The 9,401-nt window shown below is 53.0% G+C and overlaps 1 protein-coding gene across 10 annotated transcripts, besides 4 other annotated features; it reads right to left on the reverse strand.

The window, feature by feature from the left end:
• Positions 1 to 674: 674 nt before the first annotated feature.
• TYSND1 (trypsin like peroxisomal matrix peptidase 1) lies at positions 675 to 9,394 on the reverse strand. Of its 10 annotated transcripts, none has more exons than NR_073591.2 (4): positions 9,347 to 9,394; positions 6,536 to 6,666; positions 5,362 to 5,458; positions 675 to 2,835 (listed from the first exon to the last, which is right to left on the reverse strand). NR_073591.2 is itself a non-coding variant. In NM_173555.4 (4 exons), exons 1-4 carry the CDS (start codon positions 9,278 to 9,280, stop codon positions 2,618 to 2,620), a joined length of 1,701 nt encoding a protein of 566 aa, NP_775826.2. In that variant the 5' UTR covers positions 9,281 to 9,394; the 3' UTR covers positions 675 to 2,617. The 10 variants fall into 10 exon arrangements, 2 of the variants coding, with proteins under 2 accessions (NP_775826.2, NP_001035363.1); NR_073593.2 differs by lacking the exon at positions 5,362 to 5,458 and adding an exon at positions 5,459 to 5,547; NR_073582.2 differs by having other exon boundaries at positions 5,362 to 5,547.
• Positions 1,337 to 1,837: an enhancer, noted in NCBI's record as "H3K4me1 hESC enhancer chr10:71898399-71898899 (GRCh37/hg19 assembly coordinates)". NCBI's record gives its function as "activates a minimal SCP1, AML or CMV promoter by ChIP-STARR-seq in primed H9 embryonic stem cells {active_cell/tissue: H9 hESC(primed)}" and the evidence as "EXISTENCE:reporter gene assay evidence [ECO:0000049][PMID:30033119]".
• Positions 8,296 to 8,525: a silencer, noted in NCBI's record as "silent region_2440". NCBI's record gives its function as "represses an Ori minimal core promoter by ATAC-STARR-seq in GM12878 lymphoblastoid cells {active_cell/tissue: GM12878}" and the evidence as "EXISTENCE:reporter gene assay evidence [ECO:0000049][PMID:35858748]".
• Positions 8,656 to 8,705: an enhancer, noted in NCBI's record as "active region_3496". NCBI's record gives its function as "activates an Ori minimal core promoter by ATAC-STARR-seq in GM12878 lymphoblastoid cells {active_cell/tissue: GM12878}" and the evidence as "EXISTENCE:reporter gene assay evidence [ECO:0000049][PMID:35858748]".
• Positions 8,856 to 9,165: a silencer, noted in NCBI's record as "silent region_2441". NCBI's record gives its function as "represses an Ori minimal core promoter by ATAC-STARR-seq in GM12878 lymphoblastoid cells {active_cell/tissue: GM12878}" and the evidence as "EXISTENCE:reporter gene assay evidence [ECO:0000049][PMID:35858748]".
• Positions 9,395 to 9,401: the final 7 nt, after the last annotated feature.

Here is a 9,401-nt window from a genome sequence, read left to right on the forward strand (position 1 = left end):
AGCACAGGAAAGACCCAGCCCCACGATTCAATTACCTCCCAACAAGTTCCTCCCATGACACGTGGGAATTGTGGGAGTTACAATTCAAGATAAAATTTGGGTGGGGACACACCCAAACCATATCAGTACCCACACGTGCAAGAATAAACCCTCCTCCCCGCCCACCGCAACTCCCTCTCACAGCAAAGTCAGACCTCAGATCTAGGATTCTGCTACCATTAACTTACTGTAGAACTTCTCTTAAACTAGCCATGACCTCTGGACCCATTCCTAATCTGTAAAGGGAGGAACAACCATCCCAGGAGTGTTCTGTGATTGCCCCGTGTTTTAGGAAAAACTCTCCTCAAATCGTGTTTTCCCTCTACTCTCATGCCATCACAATCATCAACACAGAAGACTTCAGTGACCAAATGTGTGTGGGGTTTCCCCACCAAAAGCAGTGGACATCAGCCGGGTGTCCTCTAATTCAGTTCCAACACTATCTACCCAGAGACATTGTCAGACCCCACAGGTTGAGGGTTCAGTCTCCAAGACTGCCCCCCTCAACCACACCAGGCACAAGTCTAGGCCTCCAGAACTTCTGACCAACTGGCTTCAAGTTGAGTTCCCACGACCTCCTTTTTGGGTTCAATTAATTTGCTAGAGTGGATCACAGAGCTCAGAGACACACTTACTTATGTTTACCGGTTTATTATAAAGGATATCGCAAAGGATACAGATGAAGAGATGCACATAGAGCAAGGAATGAGGGAAGGGGAAGGAGTGCAGAGCTTCCGTGCCCTCCCTGGGCACGCCACACTCCAGGAAGTGCCAGGTGTTCAGCTATCCAGAAGCTCTCTGAACCCTGTCCTCTTGGGTTTTTATGGAAGGTTCATGACATCAACATTCCTTCCCCTAGGATTGAGACCCTCTCATGGGAAGGTCTTTAGGACCCACTGTGAAAAAGGTGGGCGAACATTAGTGAAAGGATACCCAGAGGTCAGAGGCCTGTCCCAAGCCCTAACATACCCAGTATTCTAACAAAGACTGGAACAAGGACTATGAGAGTTACGAGTCAGGAATGCTGGATGAAAACCAATATATATCATAACACCACACCCAGCATTGGCACTCAGCACACAGGTGTTAGAAACAAGTTACTCCTAAGCACTCTTCCTGCGTGGCCTCCGCCCACAGCCGCCCCTCACAGGGCTTTCAGCCTGCCAGTAGAAATCACTCGAGGGCCCACACATGCAAGGCCCTGGGCACACGGCACAGTCCTGACTCAAAGAGTTGGCCTCAGCTCCTGGGGGCTGCCCTGGCCTCATTCACCCTTGAACTCCCCAACTGCCACCCACCTTAGGCATTCTTTAAGCATCTGCTGCCAGGTCAAGACCACCACCTTCCGGGACCTGCAAGCCCCACCCAGCTCTGACTGGCACATGACCAGCTATGAGGGCCAGTCTGGCAGGACCGTATCCCGTGAGCTCACACCCTGCTGAGAAAACAGCACAGAAAGGGTGTATTTCTGGGTTGGGCACAGTGGCTCACACCTGTAATCCCAGCACTTTGGGAAGCTGAGGCAGGAGGACTGCTTGAAACCAGAAGGCTGAAGCCAGCACGGGCAACAAAGCAATACCCCATTTCTACAAAAATAAAAAATTAGCCAGGCGTGGTGGTGCGCGACTGTAGTCCCAGCTATTCAGGAGGCTGAGGCAGGAGGTCTCCTGGAGCCCAGGAGTTTGAGGCTGCAGTGAGCTGTGATCGCAACACTGCACTCCAGCCTGGGTGAGAGAGCAAGACCACAGCTCTAAAGAAAAAAAAAAAAAAAAAAGGAAAGGGTGTGTTTCTTTGCCTGGTACTTGCCTATTCCCAGTTCAACTCCTGAAAAAAAGAAACAATTTGATATATAAATACAGAGGTTTTTCAATAGATCATGTTTATTCCCAAGCCCCAACCAGACATGTTCTACCCCTCAAGATCCCTGAGACCCAGGCTGTGGGCTGGAAAATGAAGGCACAGTGTCAAGAGCGCCCCTGTTGGCATATGAAGACCCAGGAGTGCTGACCTTCAGGGATCTGCCTGCACTGCCCATGGGCCTGGCACAGCAGGAGGCACTCCTGTTTCTGTCCCTTCTGTCTCTGGTCTTCAGAGCAAGGTTTCTGCTGAGATGCTAAGGAAGCTGAGTCCTTTGTCAGCCCTGACTCTGACTGAGAGGCAGACAGGAGCCAAGGCCCCATTGAAGCTCCAGGATGACGATGGCCCTCAGGGGAACAGACGCAAAACCAGGCACGGGCCTGCCTTCCAGCTGGAATCTACCTGTCAGGCCCAGAACTTCTGTGCAGTTGGAGTGGGCTCCCCAGAAGGAAAAACAATACAGCTGAGTCTAGTGCTAGGGGACAGAGAACTGGGGGCTCAAGAAAGCACCCCAAAACGGGCTGCCAGGTTAAGGATCCATGGGGCTGAAGAGAAGTTTGCCCCAGAGCCCAAAGCCCAGTCTGCAGTCAGTGGGTGGAGATGAGAGGCAGCCTGGGCCCCTGCAGGGGCTGGGCCCTGAATCCTGAGGCCACCGTCACCTCAACATCACTTCCTACAGCAGAAAAAGGTCACTCTTCTTTCCAAAGGTGGTAACACAGCCTCAGAGCTTGCTCCGCGGGGCCTCTGCCAGGGGCCGCTGCAACCGCCACACCACCCTGACTGGCTCAGCAGCGCGGTCCAGCTCACGGAGGCCACCTAGGTCTTGGGTCTGGCTGTACTGCTGCAGGGCCGGCTGGAGCACCGTGATGGGAATGCTGAAGTTCAGGTGGGGGTAGGTGGCCCCCGTATTATTGTCCCGGGTGTTGCTGGTGATTATGCCTGTTGAGGAGTCAGAGAGCAAAAGAGGATGTGAGCCAGGGGGCAGAAAGGCTGGAGAAGGGAGGAGGACCATCTCCACCCTGGAGCCCCCAGGGCCTGGTAGGGCTGGATACCACCCCACGTGGTGACAGACGCTGAGCTTCTAGACATGAACACCTGCTGCCCACACCCTTTCCTGGCTTTACGTTTTCTCCTTAACACTCTCAAAATCTAACACACTAGATAGTTCACTTATTTCACTTGTTATCTTTCTCTCGACCTAGTGTCAGCTCCATAAGGGCAGGACTTTGAGGTTTTGTTCATGCAGTCTCCCCAGTACCTGAAACAGTGCCTTGTGCCAAGTAGGCGCGCAACAAAGGCTTGTTGAATGAATGAATGAATGAATGAATGAATGAATGAATGAATGAATGAATCAGACCCACAGACATATTTTGTTTGGCCTGCTCGGTGCATGGATGTGTGTGTAGTTTTTTAAAGATAATTTCAGACATACAGAAGTCTTGCCTAAATATTGCAGAATTCTATATACCCTTTGACCAGCTTTCCTTTATGTTCGTATCTAATGTCACCAAAAAATATTTATCAAAACCAAAACATATACCTTGGTAGAATACTGTTATTAAGTGAACTACAGAACTCATTGACATGAGTTGCACTAGTTTTTCCACTAATGTCCTTTTTCAGTTCCAATATCCAGTCTAGGACTCCATATTCCATTTAGTTGTCGCATCTCCCAAATCTCCTCCAATCTGGGTCAGTTCCTCAGTCTTTCCTTATCTTTCGTGGCCTTGACATTTTTAAAAGTGCAGGTTATTTTATTTATTTACAGTTTTTTTTTTTGTTCTTGTTTTTGTTTTTTTAGAGGCAAGGTCTCGCTCTGTCACCCATGCTAGAGTGCAGTGGTGGGATTATAGCTCACTGCAACCTCAACCTCCTGGGCTCAAGTGATTCTCCCGCCTCAGCCTCCCTAAAATATTTTGTAGAGATGGGGCCTCACTATGGTTGTCCAGCTTGGTCTTGAACTCCCAGACTCAAGCAATCCTCCCGCCCTGGCCTCCAAAAGTGCTAGAATTACAAGTGCGAGCCACCATACCTGGCTTTTTTTTTTTTTTTTTTAAATAAACACTGTTTATTTTTTTGAGATGGGTCTCGCTCTGTCACACAGGCTAAAGTGTAATGGTGACCATAGTTCACTGCAGCCTTGAACTCCTGGGCTCAAGTGATCTTCCCACTTCAGATTCCTGCAGAGCCAGGACTACAGGCACATACCACCATGTCTGGCTCAGGTCAGTGATTTTAGAGAATGACCCTCAATTGAGGCCTACCTAATGTTTTCTCATGACTATTGGGTTGGTGCAAAAATGAATGCGGTTTTTGTCATTACTTTTAATTGTTTTGCCATTACTTTTAATTGTTTAAGGTTACACATTATTGGGAAGAATACCATAAAAGCCATGTGTCCTTCCCAGTGTCTCAGCTATCTGATGTCTGTATGGAGTACTTCTGACGTTCACCTTGATCACTTGGCTGAGGTGGTATCTGCCAGGCCTCTCCAAGGTAGACTTAGTATTTTCCTTTCTTTTTTTTTAATTAAAAAAAATTTTTTTAAATAAAAATAGAGGCAGAGTCTCACTATGTTGCCCAGGCTGGTCTCGAACTCCCATTTCAAGTGATCCTCTTGCCTCAGCCTCCGGAAGTGTTGGGATTACTGGCACGAGCTACCACACCAGGCCTAGACTTATGGCTCTAAATATTACTTACGGCTCCAATATTTCCTCTTTGTAAGTACTAAATATTTAGAGGAAATATACTAAAGTTATGCAAATACAATTTTACTTGTATACTAGGATGGAACAGATAAGTAAACATATTGTAGACAACAAGAGCAAGGTTTTTCACTACAGGAGAAAGAAGAAACAAGGAGAGTTAGACTGGACTGGAGTTGGAGGTTTCTAGATGAACTCATGTTTTTTTCTTTTTGACAGCTAAACAGACTGTTTTTTAAAAACCTGAATGTTACCAAAATTTAAAAATTGATCGATTTAACGGCCACATGTATTTTTTTAAAAAAGCTTTACATGTCTTGTGAAAATATTAGAATACCAGCCAACGTTAGGCCCATCCTCCTTCATGGCCACAGTCTGCAGCAGCTGAGTCGAGTGCGCTTCAGTTTAGACCCCTCCCCTCCCCTCCCTGTTGTCTTCTCATTCATTTGCTTTATCTTTCCAGCCTCTGTTGGCTTTTGAGTCTGTGACGCTTTGACTAATCCAACTCCTCAATTTCACAGATCAAACCAGATTAGATTAGTAGCAGAGAAGGGACCAGAGCCCAGATCTCTTTCCTCCCAGTCCAGCATCCGTCCCTCTCCACCATCAGGAGAACAGCCTGCAAACCTTCGCTAGCTCACTCATAATGCCCACCATTTTCCCAGACAGAGGGTGCACTGGGGCTGGCCACAAGCACTCATGGGGTGGGACTGAGGTTCTGGCAAGTGGGAGGGCGGGAGGGGGCCAAAGAGCTGGTTACCAAGGAGGTTTCCTGAGTGGTTGGAGAAGAGGGGTCCCCCACTGGAGCCGCTGTGCACAGCACACGTGGTCTGCAGCATTACGGGCGTGCCATTCACCTGCACCACAGCCGAAAGGATGCCTGAGGTCACCGAGGGCCCGCAAGACTGGCCAAAGACGCCAAAGCCCACCACACTCACAGCCTCGCCTGCCAGGGAAGGAAGGAGGGTGAAGCTGGGGACACCTGTGTTACAGCAGGACTCACACTCCCTAACTCCCATCCCTACCCTCTCCAAACATTCCAAACCTCTCCACCCTTCAAGTTTCTGCTCAGATACTCCTGCCTCCAGAGAGCCTTCCCCATGTCCCCTGGCTGGAAGAGGCTGAGAACTCCACTGAGCTCCTAGCACTGTATCTGCATGACCACTTCTGAGCAACAGGCTGTTCCCTAGTCCTTGTTCCCTGGACAGGCGGGGCAGTGACTTTTAGGAGTTCCTAACACCTACCTACATGCTCAATAAATGTTTGTGGAATTCACACCCATCTCCTCCTGGAACTCCTAAGAAGTCTCTTCGTGAAAAGAAATGGTGATGATGGCTATAATGCAGCCATGACCTTCCTTTTCCAAGTGCAGGGTATGGGGGTAAGTGCTTTACAGGCAACGTCACACCCAGCCCTCACAACACCCAGAAATAGGATGCATTAGCCCCATTTCAAAGACGTGGAAAATGAGGCAGAGGATAGTTAACTAGCCTGTCCAAGGACATGGGACTAATAGGTGGCATAGGAAAGATGCCCATCCAGAGCCCCTGGACCCTTCATCACTGTATCACACTGCCTCCATGGAGTGCAACATCAGTACTTATGTGGCAGCATCACAAAGCCTTTTACCCAAATCGTGCCCCTGGAGCCTTGAAAGTGCCACATGCCTCTCTGACCAGCCTGAAGTGTTAAGGAACCCCAAAGGCCCAGCATCCTCACACTACATTGCTGCAGGCACTCGGGGAAAGGGCGTGCAGCATTATCCTTCCCAGGGCACTCCATGTGCCCCACCAGCACAAAAAGGGAGGCAGGCCTCCAAGGACCTTGACCAATGCTACCCTGACTTCATGAGAATGCCCAACACTGATTCTCCTTCCTGAGGCCCACCCTAGCTCAGAGGGGCCCTCCTTCAGGCTGCGCCCTTCGTCCTTTACCTTCATGGAAGTGCTCAGCGGGCACAGGGATGGGGACATCATCCAGGTCCTCCTCCAGGCTCACCACTGCTATGTCATAGGGACATGTCTCCTGAGTGGCAAATACCACACGGCCCCAGATGGCCACACTCCTGGGAGCAAGGGAAACAAATGACAGGCTAGCTTTCTGACTCCTCAGTACTTGGGAGAAATCAAGGAGCTGAGAGTGACAGTAAAAGTCAGAAGATCTGGGTATCAGCCCTGAATCGACCAGCAGGCAACTCTGGGCAAGTCATGTAACCATTCTGTGGTATCTCCAAAGGTGGTTGACAAACTGTGCTACTTCTCTAAAGCTTCCTGTACCTGAATAATCAACCTGACACTTAGTGAGCACTGTGGGCCAGGTTTGGTGTTAGTGTTTTGTGGACATCACTTTATTTAGTCTTCACGACCCTATAAACTAGGCACTGGCATTATCTCCATTTTAGGTGGTATAACTGAGGCCCAGAGACGCTCAGTAACATTCCCAACACCAAACAAAGTGGGAGGAGCCAAGGCAAACACAACACTTTCCTTCACTGCCTCGTTGATACCCACAACAATCCCGTCAGTTGGTGGGTCAGATATGACATGGTTTCACTCCTCTGGGTCCCTATTTACGTACACGCTAACACTTCTGTAGCACACGACGTGACAGGCTCCGTTCCACGACATTCAGCGTCAACTCCCGGGGAGGCAGCTTAGACAGGTTAAGTGACTTGCCCGGGATCAGACAGGGGCGTCCTACTACACACTCTGCAGGGGTAGCTTCCAACAGACCTGGCAGTCTCCTTAGGAGCAAGGGGCATGTGGGGGGAGTGGAAGGAATCTGGTGGGGGCCACACACCATAGGCAAACCTTCATCATCAGTCTTCCCTATAAAGTCATGGCTGTCCTATAGGCCACAGTGGGGACACCTATGGCAAAACTGGGCAGTGTTACCCACACCTGGCTAAGCTTGGGGATTCAGGAAGAGATTTGGAAAAGCCTGGGCTGCAAGGCTGGGCTGAACCATGTACAGCTGCGTGGGCCACCCCCCTACCTTCTGATTACGTAGAAACTCACGTTTCACTCAGACGGGAAGCTCTGGCTAAGCACTAAAAGATGGATAAAATTAACATACCCATCTCCTTACCCCAGGAGAGCACCATCCTGGGCCTCTGGGACCTTATCACTTTCAGAGGAGAAGCAGCAGGGTTAGGGAATCTCTGTTCAAAGGGCCAGAGAACCGAGGGGTATGGCGTGCAGGGCTATCAGACAGTGAAGCTGCCCAGAAGAAACTCAGCCTTTGAGGGGAGCTCAAAGATGCCCTGTTCCGGATTCAGGGTGTCCCACAGTACCCAAATCCAGAGCTGCTTCGAGCTTGACACCTTGCCCCAGATTCTCCCCACAGGGGTTCTGGGTATAAAGGATGAGGGGAGGGTTCCAGGTCTCTACCCACTACACGCCCAAAGCATCCGCGTGACACAAGAAAGGCCTGCACAATACTCAAGAGTATTAGGGCTGGACCCAGATCTGAGACCTGGAAAGGGATGAAGTGGCGTCAGCCCTGCGGGCTTACTTGGGGGTGGTGGAGCGCACCAGGACCCTGGCTGCTTCCCGAGGGGACACGTGCCGACAGGTCACTACAAGGCGGGGTGCCACAGCCACTCCGGAGCCCCATACGGTGCCGCACTCCACCAACACTGCCGCGGCTGCCCACAGGGGCCCGGAGTCTCGGAGGGGCAGACCCCACGGGACGCCCACCTCTGGCGGCAGAAGGGCGGCCAGGGCAGCGGTGCTGTGCGGCAGGCGGTGAAGCGCGTCGCGGGCGGCGCGGAAAAGGGGGGCGGCGGCGCAGAGCAGCGTGAAGCCCACCCATTCGCCGGCCTTCCAACAGAGCGGCGCCACCACCAGCGCCACCAGCGCCCCCGCGGGCCGCGCGGTGAACACGCCGCCGCCCTCGGTGCCGGGCAGGCAGCGTGCGTCGGTAAGCAGCAGTGGGCCGGCCACGTTGCTGAGCACCCCGCAGCTCAGCGTGTTGAGAAAGATGTCGGGGCAGAAGGCGCCGAAAGGGGAGCCGCAGACCAGCAATGGCGCACCCTTGGGCACGGCCCCGAGAGGCGACACCGCCATGGCTGGCCCGCGCTCCTCCTCCACCTCCTCCTGGCCTAGCCGCACGCCCAGCAGCGCAAACCAGCCCAGCGCTCTCAGTTGATCCGCCTCCTCGTCCTCCGACACTTCGTCATCCCGCGCCGCGCTCGAGAAGCGCCACTGTTCCGCTGCCTCGTCCCCGAAGAGGCGCGCGAAGTGGGCCCAGAAGGCCGGGCAGCTCAGCAGCAGCAGCAGCTCAGCAGGAAGCCGGGGCTGCAGGGGACGCCCGCGGGACGGGGCAGGTGGGCCGGGCTCGAGGCTCGCGCACTGGGGCGTGCACAGCCCTGGGCGGCCCCGCTCCGCGCCGCCCCCGGGACCCGCGGCCGTTGGGGCCCACTGCACGTGCAGGCGCAGGTCGTCCCTGCAACTGTCGCCAGGCAGGAAGACGGCGCCGGCCGCGGTCAGGACTTCGCTGCCAGCTCGCAGGAAGGGGACGAAGATGCCCCCGTGGCAAAGCACCAGGCCCGGGCTACGGCTCAGGATTACCCCGCTGCAGCTCCACGGGCCCGCCTCGGGCTGTCCGGCCCGGGAGGCGCTCACCATGCAGCCCGCCTGCTCGGCCGCCCTCATGGCAGACCCCCACTGCCTTCTCATGGCCTCTAGGCCGGACACTCGGGAGCTTCTCCGAGAAACAGCAAGCTAGCGAGCGAGGACCCCTACCCGGTCCGGCTGAAGCTGCCTAGCGCCACCCACAGCTGGAAGCGAGAGGCGCAAG

This window comes from Homo sapiens, chromosome 10, assembly GCF_000001405.40.
Source record: "Homo sapiens chromosome 10, GRCh38.p14 Primary Assembly".
Lineage (NCBI taxonomy): Eukaryota > Metazoa > Chordata > Mammalia > Primates > Hominidae > Homo > Homo sapiens.

Bases quoted from the DNA above. Each gene is read 5' to 3' on its own strand.
- TYSND1 (NM_173555.4), bottom strand. From the start codon at position 9,280: ATGAGAAGGCAGTGGGGGTCTGCCATGAGGGCGGCCGAGCAGGCGGGC. The intron at 6,667-8,114 runs GTAAGCCCGCAG...CCTTGCTCCCAG, and splicing joins GTGCGCTCCACCACCCCCAA to GAGTGTGGCCATCTGGGGCC. The intron at 2,836-5,361 runs GTAACCAGCTCT...ACTCCTCAACAG, and splicing joins CCACTCAGGAAACCTCCTTG to GCATAATCACCAGCAACACC.